Source organism: Homo sapiens, chromosome 1 (assembly GCF_000001405.40).
Source record: "Homo sapiens chromosome 1, GRCh38.p14 Primary Assembly".
NCBI classification, from domain to species: Eukaryota; Metazoa; Chordata; class Mammalia; order Primates; family Hominidae; genus Homo; species Homo sapiens.
Genome location: NC_000001.11, coordinates 146,737,838 through 146,753,233, shown reverse-complemented (window position 1 = coordinate 146,753,233; position 15,396 = coordinate 146,737,838). Strand labels below are relative to the sequence as shown.

Below are 15,396 nucleotides of genomic sequence, written 5' to 3'. Positions count from 1 at the left end.
TGGCCTGAGGACTATGGAGGGGCTCGTCTTCTGCTTGTGTGAATGACCACCCCCTGCTTTTAGGGCACCAGTTTCTACCTTGTGTGACACATTACTTTGCCTTACCTAGGTCTACCCATAGGAAGCAGTGGTTACCATCATGGACTCTGGAGTCAGAGAGCCCTGGGCTGGAATCCTGATTCTGCCACTTAAAACTGTGGACCTGGCCTCTCTGCGCTTCAGTTTCTCATCTGTACGTCCAAAGCCCTCAACGTGGTATCCAGCAAGTGTTCTTCCATCTGTATTAGCTGTTTTTAGGTCATACTACCCCAATTGGGCCCTAGTGACAGCAGAATGTGTTCCAGCCTCTGCATCCATAAAATGGGGATAACGCGACCCATTTTGTAAGGGTTAGAAATAAAATACACAAGGCAGGCAGCACCTGCCTGGCACCTGGCAGGTACTCAGAAACAGGTTGGTCCCAGAGCAGGGGTAATTCAGAGGGGCAAAGGCAATGGTTAGCACGAGGTGTTCTCCACATTGAGTTCTCACCATTCTCCTGTGCCAGATTCTCCAGATATTTCGCCCTCATCTGCTCCTCTTTTGACTTCTTTATCTCTTTGAAGTACTCGTACAGTTCTGGGGGCAGCTTCTCCCCAGGGTTGCGGGGAGGCAGCAGCAGGGTGTTGTAGGAATCATAGCCCTTCAGCTTCCGCAAGATCTGCTCGAAGGGAGAAAGAGAATCCTGTTGGTCTCACTAGAAATCTCCCTGCAGCTCTAAGTGGGTCTGCTCACTGATTTTATAAAACTCCTGCTCCTGCCTGAGGCTGAGACTTGTACAAATACTTTCTGGATTTCAAAGAGTGGGGCCCTTTGGAGAGGTGTCAGAAGTAGGGCTGAGCTCTGAGCCTGTGGGGATACATGATCTTTATTTTGCTCCATTTCAGCCTGGGCATTTCACCTGTGGAAATATGTTTTCTTCTTGTTTTAAAACTAATATACACTCTTTTCCTTTTTTCCCCATGACAAAATTTCAGAACTCCATTATCTACCTTGAGTGACAATTCATTCTTAAACAATATTGTGGTTAGCAATTTTACATTAAGCAAGGGTGTGGTCTCATAAACAGAGGATCCAGGGGAAAAAAAGAGGTAAAATAGTATTAAGTACGTGTATGTGTGCACATGTGTGTGAATGTGTATTAGGGCTGCCAGATAAAATACAAGATGCCTAGTTAAATTTGAGTTTCAGATAAACAATGAATAACTTTTTAGTATAAATATGTCCAGTGTAATATTTGAGACATACTAAAAAATATTTGTTATTTATCTGAAATTCAAATTTAACTAGACAGCCTGTATTTTTTTCTCCTAAATCTGGCAATCCTAGTGTGTATGTGTATTTACAAGACACAGCAAAATTAAGTTTTAAAAAGCATTTACTTCTTCTACAACCTGATTTATTGATATCAAAAATCTGTTTTGTTAGGTAACCCTTCTTCAGGATCCCCATTTTTAGTTATTTGAACACCACTGCTAATAAGCTCCATGTAAATATTTGAACACCACTGCTCATAAGCTCCATGTAAAATAAGATCCATGTAAATTTTAGAATTTACATGGAAGGGCAAAATTAAAGCATTAATGAAAAGGAATAAAAGAAGGCTATTGCCCTACCAGATGACAAGCCTTATCAGGAAGCTGTAGTAATAGACAGAGTGGCAATGATGCTGGGAAAGACACATTGACCACTGAAATAGAAGAGAAAGCTCAGAATTGACCCATTTATTTATGGAACTGTGATAAAGCATAGAGATGGCATAGAGAATCTGTGGGCAAAGGAGGCAATATGCCAAAGACTGGCTGATACAGGGCACAAAGGCCTGGCAAACAAGCAGCAACTGGGGCAACTCCAAAGGGCCAACCCAGCCCCAGAGCTTCCTGTGCGATTAGCTGAAGTCTCCATTGCCATCTCATCACAGTTCATCTCCCTCTGCCCAACTCTGCTGTCCTATTCTTCACAGATGTTCCTGAGAGTGCCCCCAAGAAACCTCCCACATGCAAATCTCAAGTCTTAGATTGTGCTTTCCACAGAGCCTGACTCTTGATAGAAGGTGCTGTGCCAACAGAAGCCACTAAGGATCTCATAAATTCCTAATGAAAAGACTCTCCCCAAAGGGGCAGATTCCCATTCTGAGAAAAACTTCTGGGAGCAGACTGCAAACTAAGCAGGCTATCAACACTGGAAGTAAAGAAGACAGAAGATTCAAAGGCTGAGTGGGGGAGGGTCCAGAGGAAGCAGAACCCCCACTCAGCTAAGCCACCTTCAAATTTCTGACCCACAGAAAGCACGAGATGACAAATGTTTATTGTTTTAAGTTGGTAAGTTTGGGGCTAATTTGTTATGCAGCAAAAGATAACAAATATAGCGTTGGGCTTCATGGACAAGAATACCTTATGAGGAAACAATGGAGCAATATATTTAAAATAGTCAAGTGAAGAAAATGTAAGCCAAGAATATTGTATCTGATCTTCAAAAGTCACAGATAAATGGTTACGAATGTTTGAATACTCAGAGAATATCATCCCCATGATCCCTGCCTGAGAAATCCACCAGAGAATGAGCTGTAGACAACCCAGAAGTGATTGGAGAAGCTCCACTGTAAGGATTGGTGTTGGGCATTCAATATGTCTTAGTGTAAAACTAAGACTCCATGATGGAAATTAAGTCCTGATACCTTAATACTATAAGCTCTGACAATATAGATAAAATACAAGTAGGAAATATGGGGGAAGGGTACATGAGATGACTACTCAGCTGGTATTAACTGGAAATAAAATCATTTTAAATTAGAGGATGGAAAGGGGAGAAGGAAAAAGAGATTACTAGCTAATTTTAATATTGCTCACAAGAGGGAATTAAGAGGCCGTTTCAAAGAGCAGGGCACTAAGGTTATTAGACAAAGGTGTAGCTCAAGGTAGGGCAGCAGGGTGGGAGCATGAGATGTGGATTTGGGGGAGCTGCTGGAACACAGCACAGAGGCCTCACCATGCTTACGGATAATATGACTCAGTAGCCTTACTGTTAGTAGGAATATTGATATTACTATTTTGAAGCTATTTTATTAATTTACTTATTTTATTTTATTTTGAGACAGGGTCTCACTCTGTCACCCAGGCTGGAGTGCAGTGGTATGATCTTGGTTTACTGCAGCCTCGACCTCCCAGGCTCAACTGAACTCCCACCTCAGCCCCTCGAGTAGCTGGAACTATAAGCATGTGTCACCATGTCCAGCTAAATTATTTTGTATTTTTTTTTTTTTTTGAGACAGAGTCTCGCTCTGTCGCCCAGGCTGGAGTGCAGTGGCGCGATCACAGCTCACTGCAACCTCCGCCTCCTGGGTTCATGCCATTCCCCCGCCTCAGCCTCCTGAGTAGCTGGGACTACAGGCGCCTTCCACCACACCTGGCTAATTTTTTTTTTGTATTTTTTAGTAGACACGGGGTTTCACCGTGTTAGCCAGGATGGTCTCAATCTCCTGACCTTGTGATCCACCCGCCTTGGCCTCCCAAAGAATTTTGTATTTTTTTTTGTAGAGATAGGGTTTTGCTATGTTGCCCAGGCTGGGCTCAAACTCAATCCTCAAGCAATCCTCCTGCCTTGGCCTCCCAAAATGCTAGGATTATAGGTGTGTACAACTGTGCCTGGCCAAATGTATATTTTATAAGATAAATTGATAAGTAAGTTTATATCCATGATTTTCAAGAGAAAGCAGAAACAAATGTATCATTGAAGAATTTAGATAAAATCCTATAATCTTAAATTGGAATTTGAAACATCATTATGTGTTATGATTTTTTTCCCCTCTTAAAAATCACATTTCCTAATTCTATTTACTAAAAAGACCTAGAAAGTCACAATCCAGTGGTCCAGACTGTGATCTCTAAATGCTATTTCATACTAAAAGGAACAAGGGCTCCTTGGAGAAATGATTGACTCCAGGTCTGGGCAGGAAATGAACCCGTCAAGTCTGGGACATCTTAGGAGTGTCCTCCCTGCCAGTGGGTAACAAGACTTCACCTCCCCCCAAATCTGTCAGTAAAGCCCATGTAGGGAGCCTGGACTTCCACGTCCATCTGGTGGTAAAGAAATGCCCCTCCTCCCCTCTGCTGGGGTGGTGTCAGCTGAGGTCTAGTGGGAGTCAGAACTTTTGTCATTACCCAGTGGTCCTGGGTAGTACGGCTACCCCTCTATTTTTCCATGCAGAGTCAGTGGAGTCCGTGTGGAGAGTAGTAACAAGGCACTCCTGCCCCTCCCAGCCAGGAAGGTATCAATGGAGGCCTTGCGGAGAGCCAGAAATACCACTCCTGCCCAGCAGTAGTGAAGAGCTCCTCCTACTGTTTGTCAAAGAAGGCCAAGGAGGGAACCTAGACTATTACCTGCATCTGGCAGTAAGAAGGCAGTGCCCCCTTCTCCTTGCCCAAGTCATTTCAGAAAAGGCCAGTTAAAACAAAATTTAAATAAGGTCCAGAGTCTCATAACATAATACCAAAAACACCCAGGTTTTAACTAAAAATCCTTCATCATAGTAACAACCAGGAAAACTTCAGCTTGAATGACAAAAGAAAATGAATAGATATCAACTTCAAGGTAATAGTGATATTAGTTATCTTTCAAAGATTCTAAAGGAGCCATGATTGTAATGCTTTAGTGAACAATTATGAACATACTTGAAGCAAATAAAAAAAAGAAAGTCTTAGCAAAGAAACACAAGATATAAAAAAGAACCAAATGAAAATTTTAGAACGTAAAAATATAGTTACCAAAATAAAAACTCAATATGTGGGCAGAATGAAATGGATGGAGAAGAAAATCAGCGAACTTGAAGATAAAATAATAGAAATTACTTACTCTGGATAACAGAGAAAATAGTCTTAAAAAAAAGAAAAGAGCCTCAAAGAACTGTAAAACTGTAACAAAACAAAATATGAGTGTCATTTGAGCCCTGGAAGGAGAGTAGAAAGAGCATGAGGCTGAAAAAGGTACTTGAATAATGCCTGAAAAATTTCCAAGTTGGAAAGAAGATAAAGATCAACAGATTCAAGAAACTCAGCAAATCCCAAAATCAATAAACCAAAGAAATTTATGCCAAGACACATTATAGTCAAACTTCTGTAAACTAAGACACAGAAAAATTCCTGAAAGCAGTGAGAGAGAGATGAAATCTCCCCTACAGAGGAAAAAAAATAATTCAAATGACATTGGATTTCTCATTAGACCATGGAGGCCAGAAGAAAGTGGCATATATTTCAAGGGATGAAAGAACTGTCAGCTCAGAATTCTATATCCAGTGAGCAAATCCTTCAAGGATGAGAGGGGAAGTCAAGGCATTCTCAGATGAAGGAAAACTAAGAAATTTCTATCAGCAGGCATACCCTAACAACAGAGCTAAAGGTACCTCTCTAAACAGAAAGTTAATAATAAAAGAAGAAATCTTGGCGTATCAGAAAAGAAGAAAGAACAGAAAGAGTAAAAAGAGAGACAAATGTAATACATTTTCTCTTTCCTCTGGGGTCTTCAAATGTATGTTTGACAGTTGAAACAATAATTATAGTGCTAGCTAATATAAGAAAAATATTTAAGACAGTTATATTAAAAATCGGAAGGCTGAAGGGAGTTAAATGGAGGAAAGTTTTCTAAATACACTAGAACTGCTAAAATGTCAATACCAGTGATTGACATTTAATCATTGACAGTCAATGATTATAATGTTATGTATAGATAATGTAATACCTACAGCAATAACTAAAGGAGCTATACAAAGAGATACACCCAAAAAACACTCTGGGTAAATAAAAATGGAATTTTAAATAATGTTGAAGCAACTGATAGGAAAGTAGGAAAAAGTAAACAAAAAATTCCTGAAAGCAAAAAATTCCAAAAAACAATAAAACATGCAATGGCAGACTTAAGTCCTGAAATAGCAATAACTACACTAAATGTAAACTAAATATATCAACTAAAGTCTAAATATATCAACTAAAGTTAGAGACTGATAGCATATTTTTTAAAATGACCCAATTACATGCTGTCTACAAGTAACTCAACTTCAAATACAATGATATTGACAAGTTGCTATATACGGTTCTTTACTGTTGGAATTTTAACCATGAACATGCATTAGCTTTTCAATTAGTTGCTTAAAATGTCTAGGATTTTACTCAGGTCAAGGGAAGTAGGTCAGAAAAGGCTATAGGGAAGTAATCACTAAATTGACAAGGAAGAATTCAAGGGGAAAAAGATGGGAAAGGCCAGGAGGATGTTATTGCATGCAGAGAAAAGAGCATGAGTACATAGCAGGGTCCAGCACGTGTAGAAAAACAGTTTGGTTTGACCTCTGCTCACCTTTTCTTCTATGAGATACTGCTGATCAAATTCTAAGGAATAAAACTCAATGGGGAAGTTGCAGGGATTCTTCACTATCACCTCGGCCTCGTCTCCAGGTGCACAAAGTAGCAGTGGCCCCAGATCCAGGACTGAAGGACTAAATTCCAGGCGTGGCTCTAGACCTTGCCCACGTGCCAGGAGGGTAAGCTTTTGAGCACTCTGGGCAATCTGAAACACCAGGGTTTGGCTGTAGAATTTCTGGAAAACATAAAAACAAAACAAGCATCTGAATTTATTTCCATTACATGTCATGTAAAACAAAACACCGCTGAGGGGAAAAAACTTATCTATTTAGATTAAGGGAGAAAACTTATTATAAAATTGCATAAGAGTAATTTTTATTACCAAATTAACATAAGTACTGGGTATTTAGCATGCCAAGCATTGTACCAAGTGCTAGATATCAAATAAATTCTGGGTATCTAGCATTCTAGCACTTGTATCAAGTGCTTCATCGTTTGTAGCAAGCCCTCTGAGTATCACTTTCACATCCCTCAAATCTTCCAGTGTGCTCAGACTTCCAGCTGCCACTGTCTGCATCTCTGGGCCTGAAGGTTCTCATTTCATGGACCCTGCTGTCCATGGGCAGGGGAGGGCAGGGCAAAAATGCCAGGGAAATGATACCATCTGGAATTAGTTATTAAGCAATGACTCTGGGGATTTACGGTAAAAAGACCCCAGCTCCCTTGCTCCTGAGGAGTGATGATTCTGAAGTGTGTACTTTGTGTATTTTCCCAGTTTGGCAGAATGCCAGAGCTGGGGCATTCAGTTCATCAGATACAATTACAACCAGATACTGGTTAATAGTTATATCATAACTACTCACATGTTTTCTCAAAATGGTACCCAAATCTACATTGCATCCCATAGTTCCTAGTCTGATTTCACTGGGGAACCTATTAAACATGCAGATCCTCAGATTCCATCCCTAGAAATCCTGACTCTGTAGGGGCAGAGTAAGGCTGGGATTCAGCATTTTTAACCAGATGCCTAGGTTATTCTGGTATAGCTGGACTTGTGGCTTGGTTTGAGAGGAAATTACGCAAATCACAATCTGAAGACCTCCTATCTTAGCTTGAAGGGGAAAAAGCAAATGGATGGAATGTATACAGACATACACACAGAAATATCTATTTCTGGACACAAAAAGATAAATTACTGGCTAAGAAGGGTTTCTCTATAGTTATGGGCTTAGTACCTTATGATTCAAACTTCTGTATTTTAATTGCTCCTTATGGAAATCTTTCTAAAACATTTCATTCATTTTCTTGAACATGTTATCATGCCTAAGAATTGTTGGTGTGGATGTCACTGATTTCTTGGTGCTGCTGATGTTGATGATGATGCAGATATATGGATCGTATGGGTTGCAAGCCTAACCAATTCCTTGTATACAGCTAATAAATTTCTCTCTTAATTGGTGGAAACATTTTACTAACTTTGACCAATTCCAACTCAACATTCATGAAACTGCTTGAACAAATCTATTTTTTTTTACTATATTTCCCTCATTAAGTAATGGAAAAAAAATCCACAATCTTGAGTAAACCCTTTGAAAATTTTAAGACTCTTTAAGAATGACAAACATATTACTAATTTTCTTTTAAATGGACTGGGAAGATTTTGATAATGATAAAAACATGGGTTTTATTTTAGAATGAGATAGGAAGTCATTTGCTTTTTCTCTTTCTCACTGAAGGTGCTTAAGCATTTCCTCAAAGCGATTACAAGGAAAATGGGAGTTAACCATAGCTCTTCTATAAAACACAAATCAATTTTTCTTTTAAAATAACAGAATAGAGAAAAATATATTTCCCAAGTGCCTTAGGCTTTGAATAAAAGTCTTTACAGTGCAACCTCTTGAGATTCTCTGGTTCGAGGATTTTATTAATTTTATTATGTTCCTGGTCAGAAGTAGCTTTGAGTTGATTATGTTCACAAAAGAAACATTTATGAGGCTCCGGGAGGCCATCTACTGGGACGTACTTTTCACGACTACTGATGATAATAGTTAATAGTTATTGAGAGATTTACTTACATAGAGCAGCACACTGTGTACTTTATTCAATACTGTGCATTTAATCTTCAAAATGACCTTAGGAGGTAGTCACTACAGGTTGACAATAAGTTATCTGAAACCCAGGGGCCAGATACTTTCAAATTCAGATTTTTCAAATAGTAAACACAGTGCATATACCCTATGTTACCTAATACCCTCAGCAGGGTCTGGGGCAGGTCCCCTGTAATCAAACACATTAACAGTTGTTGTCAATGTTTGACTCTGAAAACTAAGTTGTACAAATAAAAGTTAAATGGTGTCATGTCAGTTCAGATGAGATTTTTCTGCCAAATGAGTTTTAGTGCGAAGCTTATGAAATCTCAAACCCCCCACCCCCAGTTTTGGATCTTACTGGGTTTCAGAATTTCAATAAGGACTTCTGATATGCAACATTACTATTTTTTCTTTTATCTATGAGTGAACTGAGACTGAATGAGGCTAAGTAATTTCCTCAAAGACACACAGCATGTAAGTGTGCAGAGGCAGAAGGCTACTAACCCAGGCCTTCTGATAAAAATTGATGTGTTAGTCCAATGATTCCAGACCACCAGACCACACAGCTCCTATGTGAACCAGAAGTGCTTGAGATGCCATATTCAGAAAAGCAAGGCACAGGTCACTCGAAGCTTCCCTTGAGACCCAAACAAGCATGGACTTTGAGTAAAGCTCAAAGAGGTCCAGAGAATCTAAATGAAGCCATATTTCTTTAAAGCTCACCTCTTCTTTTGGCATGAATTTCACTTGCACGTTGGACTTCTCACCAGGATCCAAGACTCCAGAAATGGGCTGGATTTCGAAGATCCGTGTCTTTGGCTTTAATTCAGCGCGTAGTTTCTGTCTTAAGTACTTCGGCATGTGTTTCTCCAGCTGGTTTATAAATATTAGAGAATTAGATCATCTTCTATGGAAAATGAGCTCATTCACCTTCCACTCACACAACCCACATTTCCTGAGTACCTCTCAGGTGTCGGGGAATGTGTAGATACCAGAGGTGCAAAGATGAATAAGACATTCCACCCGACAGCATGGCCTGATAGGACCTCAAGCGCTGGGCTAAGGGCCCAGGTTTTATTCAGGAGGCAATGGTTGCCACTGAAAGTCTTTGAGCAGGAGATTGAAATGATGAGCACCAAGACCTAGAGTTACAAATCTGGCTGCAATGGAGATGGAGAAAGGAGGACCAATGGGCCACAGCTCATTTACCTTGTCAACAGGCTTTTGGCTCTGGACGAACCATTCACAAGGGACTTGGAGATGATTGGAAAGCTGAATAGTTTCCACCAGGCACTGTCCACACTGAATTGTGGCAAAGTCCACTTTTCCACGAGAGAGAGTCATGGTTGGAATGGTCACCTTGGCTTGGAGACAGATGTGAACTGTTGGCCCTCCAACCACCTAGAGAGGGTATAAACTGCAGTTATCATGTGTCATGGGGTTGGGGAAAGGAAGAATCATGGCTCTGACATAATAACTGGATTATCCCAGGGGCCATCAGCAAGCAGAGCTGGAAACCTGCAGGTCCGGGTGGGCCCAGCGGTGCCTTGTACCTTGATGGGCAGAATGACTTCTTTGCTTCCAACAGGAAGATTGGCCCCCTGTGGGTCAAATCTCACTTCAAATATTTCCGTTTCACAATGAGGCAGATTCTTTACACGATCTAGCTCAGTACTGAATCCTGGACCAAGACAAAAAAAAATTTCTTCATGGAAAAGAGAAACAGCAAACAAGAGCTGCTCTAGAGAAAGCCCCCACTGGGTCAGAATGACTGCTCAAAGGATCACTGAATAGCCCAAGAATCCTTTTAGCTGATCCCAGAGGCACAAAAGCTGCTCCAGGAGGACAGTACTGATGGGTTCCTTGCGAGAAATGACCAAGTGCAATAGGAAAGCGTCTCCCCAGCCTGGGTACCTGTCTCATGAAGGACACGCTTGTCTGCATGGAATGACACTGGAAAGTGACTGGTGTTGATGATCTTGATGATGTGGGTTCGGACTTCGCCAAGGATGATGTAGCCAAAGTCCAGGATGTACTCTGGTAGCTGGATTCTGAAATGGTTAATAGACCTTACTAGTCACTTTCAAACCTGGAAGGCTACTTTTCCAAAAGTGAGTGAGTCTGATTTTTTTTTTCTACCTCCTGTGCACAGTTTTATTCTCCAGAGTGGAGAACAACAAATGGCTACCCAAACGGAGACTAGAAACAACGTTAACTCCCCCAGAGATTCACACCACTGTTTTGGCCATTATCTCAGAACATGTTCAGCATGGCCCCTTATGGACCTGAAGTGAAGCCTGTCCATTAGACATAGCTGTAATGTTCTCACTCTAAGAGGCAGAAAGCTGCCCAGTTGGCTTGATGCTAGGGGATGGCGGATAAGTGAGGAGAGTGGATTTCATTGCGAGGTGATCAGCCAGTGTTTCCGGGAGTGTGCTGCACGAGGCAGCACTGCTTGCTCTGCTACACTCTGAAACAAGCACAGCACAGAAAGGCAGTCACTGGAAACCACTCACTTGGCCAGTTTGCGGCGACTCCGATGGCTGAAGCAGGGGTCATCCATAGGATCAGGGGTGGTTGTTTTCTGATGTTCTAGGACATAGCTTTGGACTATAAGTCTTTCTACCTCCATCTGGAGATGAGCACTTACCTGAAGCAAGAAGGAAGAGCAAGTCAGCAAATTCTTTAGGAACATGCATTCTCAACAGGGACAATACCACCCCTAAAGAGGCAAAAATTAGTTCTTGGAGGGTGGTGGAAAATATCTTAAATATTACAATGGTTTGCGGCCCCCAAAGAGCCACAGAACATAAACAGATACATGGTATGTTTAAAGCATTACATTTTTCCTGGGAAGGGCGTGGAAAGGGTAAGCAAATCGGTATATCCACACCATGGAATACTCAGCAGTAAAAGGGAATGAATTATTGAGGTGCATAACTTGAATGGATTACAAGGGCATTATGTGGAATGAAAAAAGCCAATCTCAAAAGGCGATGTGCTGTATGATTCCATTTATATAACATTCTTGAAATAACAAAAGGCTCAAGATGGAGAACAGATGAGTGGCTGCCAGAGGTAAGGGACAGGGAGAGAGGGGTGGATGTGGTTATAACCTGGGCACATGTAAGGCCAAACACAAATGGAAAATGAGGCTTAGTTCTCCTTGTTGAAAATAAGGGAAGAGACTTCTCTTCCTCCCCTTAGAGTATTTAGTTTAGAACATTTGTAATTTTAAGTTCTTTGAAATGTTATCGCTTTGAAATGTAGATAAATCTTTTTAAAAGTGAAATAAGCCTCTTGCCAGCTTTAGGAGCCAGAAGTGTCTTTCTCAAGGACCTGGGAACCATCTCTTTGACACGTAATCAACAAGAAAGGTGAAGTCCCTACTCCCAGTTTCTGTGAGAGGATGGGAGCCTAGCTTCCATGGGGCCCTGCTAGAAAGACAAGTTTGTTTTTCCTTTGGATAAAGCCAATTAGCTAACACAGTTGGTCACCTCAATTACCATGTCGATTTAGGATAAACTATGTGTGGCAAATGATGGTGTCAAGTCCTCTTACTTGAGACTAGCTACTTTTTACTCTGAGAACAGGAATGAAAAGGCTTGGATCTGGTTGGCTCTATAGGAGGGGCAGACTTCCTTCTGCCTTTGCAATCTCTCAGCAGATTGCCTGTGATGGGCATCACATTCTGGTTTAATGCTTATTCAATAATAAAATTGTTTTCTTTCTCTTCTACCTTTGTGGATAGATTTTCTGGGTTGGAGGGAGATTTTGTTTTTAATTTTATTTCCTCAAGAAGCACGAGGAATCTTGGTGGTAATGGAATAGTTCTGGATCTTAATTGCGGTGGTGGGTTCACAAATCTACATGTGATAAAATTGCACAGAACTACACCACACACATACACACATGCATGTAAAAGTGGTGAAATCTGAATAAGCTCTGTGGCTTGTACAAATGTCAATTTCATGGATTTGATGTTGTACTATAGTTATACGAGACGTTACTGCTGGGAAAACCCTTTTTTTTTCAATTCCCTGTAAATATATTATTTCAAAATAAAAAGTTAAAAAGTATGTCAAACTATTCAAGGAGATTCCATTTTGTATATAATAAATAAAAATATTTCATGGGGAATATTAGGAAAAAAGGTCTAAAATGGATTTTTAGGGAGTGATAATGGAAAAGGTTGAGAAACACTATTTGAAAAGGGCTAATCCTTAAGTCTAGGCCCAGCAGGGAAGGTTAATGTGTGCCATGGCCCACAGTGAGGCACAGGAGGTGAGAGTGGAAGTGTGACAAACTGGGAGAGGAGCAGCGTCTGCTGACAGCCTTCCCAGTTGTCTGGATTCTAGAGCAGCAAAGCCAACTCTGTGCTTGGCTCCTGAGCCATGAGTGGTCCACCCTGCCCTACTCAAGGGAACCAGCTTGGCTCTGCATGTACCATCATATTCACAGAAACCCCACCCCACTGCTCTCCTAGGCTTTGATAAGGTGCAGCCTGGGAACCCAATAAGCAGGTGGAGACACATCATTGCGTCCAGTGGGCAGCCCGGGGCTGGCAGGAGAAGGCAGAGGCTAAGGGCACCATCTTAGCAGCTGGGCAGGCCTGGTTTCAAATCCTAGCTCTGTGCTTGCCTTGGGACATGCACTTCACTTCTGTAAAACTAAAATTTAGATGACAGCAGCACCATTCTCCCCCCACCCTCATTGTGGGAGGATTTAACAAGATAACAGTACAGGTTAACAGTATGGCACAGGCTTAGTATAAGAGTCCAATAAATGGTAACTGATGTTATTAATTATGATCATCCTTGGTGCTAAGGTTCACTTTTAGCATCTTGTACTTGAACCAGCCTTCTGCAAAACAAATAATCCCCGGTGGGCTTTGGTGCTTCCTGTCTCCCCCATGACACCTTTCTGCCCCACATTAGAGCCCCCTCTTAACCAACCTAAGGGCTCTCTAGCCACATATATGATTCTTCCTTAGAACAATATTCGCATGCACATTTGCATTTGGAAAGAACAGCAGGGGGGTTGGCAGCTGTCAGGGTCAGGAATAGACTTTTAAAACAGGACTTTCAGGGGTGATGAGGGAGGATATATTGGGATTTTGTCTTCCTATCCCAGCCTTTATTTACAAGCTGAGAAGCTCTCTCCTCCAGAGACCCTCGCTTGGCTCCCACCTCTGTGGCACCACATGCTCCTGACTTTTCCAGAATCTTTTGGCCACCCCTCTCCCCCACTCAGAAGCTGGGGTATTTTGGGGCTACATTCTGAATCTGCCTTTTTTCCTGCTCACTAGACATACTTCCTAGGGAATCTCCCCATTTCCTGTGATTGCAATGATCATCTGATGACTCTCAAGTCACCTTCTCCAACCTCTCTCTCTCCCCGAGGTGCCCAGCAGTGGCTCCGGTTCCCTACTGGATGCTCTACGCAGATGATGCACAGAAATCTCACATTCGGTAGCCACGGGAAACAGCTGAACTCCTTTCCCTTCCCTCCCCTCCCACCAAGACCTCGCTTCTCCTCCTGAGTTGCCTGTCTCAGTCCCCCTCCTTACCTCGTCATCCAAGCAAGACTTAGAGGTCCCCTCCACCCCATGCCCATATCCAATCAATCCCTAAGTCTTGACCATTCCACTTCTGGAATATTCCTTGAACCCACCCAGTTCGCCCTGTCCCCACTGTCATCACCATTGCTTACAGCACCACCATCTCTCACCTAGAATTACTCCATCAGCTTAAAAAAACTGTAGAGATGGAGTTTCACCATGTTGTCCAGGCTGGTCTCAAATTCCTGGCCTCAGGCCATCCTTGGCTTCCCAAAGTACTGGGATTATAGGAATGGGCCACTGCACCTGGCCCTCCGTCAGCTTCTAAAAAAACTGATCTCTCGAATCTACTCTCATCATCCCCAAGTTCCTGTCCCCTCAAAGCTCCACATGGCAGCCAGAGGGATCTCTTAAAGTTGCAAAGTTGATTGGGCCACACCTCTCGTTGCCCTCAGGACGAAGTCCAAAAACCTTAATAGATTAGCCATCTGATACCTCACCTCCTGGGCTCATCTTGCCTCTCCTAGCTTCCTGATTCTTTGCCTTATCTCTGTCTTTCTCCTTTCTGTACCTCAGAGACCATGTCCTTGCCCCTGGGCTTCTGCACACAGTGCCCTTCTGCACACACACCCCACACACTGTGCACACAGTGCCCTCTGCACACAACTCCTATGCACTCTGCACGCACCACCCTCCTGCACAGGCGTCCCGTGCAGGCTGGAGCTGTCTTACCTCAGCAGGCTCGTCTTCTGGCACTTCCTCAGTTATTACGTCAAAGTGATCGAGCATTTCACATTTGTTATACTCTTTGTCTGTGTTTTTCCTGGCTTGATTCAAGAACATTTCATACTTTTCATTTGCTGTACCAGGGTGGGGAGTGGGGGTTGGAAGGAGAGCAGAATCAGGAAGGTCAGAAAAATATGAATGATGTCGCAAACACAGACCCTCAGCTCCTGGTAAGGTGGGAAGGGAAGTGGACTTTTGGATACTTTGTCTGCCCTGCTTTCCCTGCTTCAGAGGGTGAGGTGATTTGAGAGTTGAATCTGTATTAGAGACCTCACTGAGTTCAATGAGATTGTGCTTTAGTGAAGGACTGGCTGGTTCTCCAGAACTTGAAGTTAGTTACATTCGAAGACACTCATAGGGTGACCCACTTGATCCTGGCTTGCTTGGGGTTTTCTTGGTTCTAGCACTTAAACCCCTACACCCTGGAGCTCTCCCAGTGCTGGACAAACCCAGACAGCCGGTCACCCTTTAAGTAACTTTTTATGTTTATTAAATCTCAATTAACAAAAGATATGTTTGGGTCAAGTTGTTTTAATTAACACTAAATATGCCACATTATCCTGAATCAGGG

General features: G+C 42.1%; 1 pseudogene across 1 annotated transcript in view; it reads right to left on the bottom strand.

Annotated features, from left to right (window-relative positions):
* Nucleotides 1-15,396, bottom strand: part of HYDIN2 (HYDIN axonemal central pair apparatus protein 2 (pseudogene)) — a 335,703-nt pseudogene that overhangs the window by 68,801 nt on the left and 251,506 nt on the right. Inside the window, exons 33-40 of the transcript NR_103556.2 lie at nucleotides 14,772-14,899; nucleotides 10,996-11,129; nucleotides 10,394-10,530; nucleotides 10,033-10,160; nucleotides 9,689-9,880; nucleotides 9,203-9,352; nucleotides 6,385-6,624; nucleotides 532-700 (exon numbers count right to left, since the gene is read on the bottom strand). The product of NR_103556.2 is annotated as an HYDIN axonemal central pair apparatus protein 2 (pseudogene) (transcript). The remainder of the gene's footprint in view (nucleotides 1-531; nucleotides 701-6,384; nucleotides 6,625-9,202; nucleotides 9,353-9,688; nucleotides 9,881-10,032; nucleotides 10,161-10,393; nucleotides 10,531-10,995; nucleotides 11,130-14,771; nucleotides 14,900-15,396) is intronic.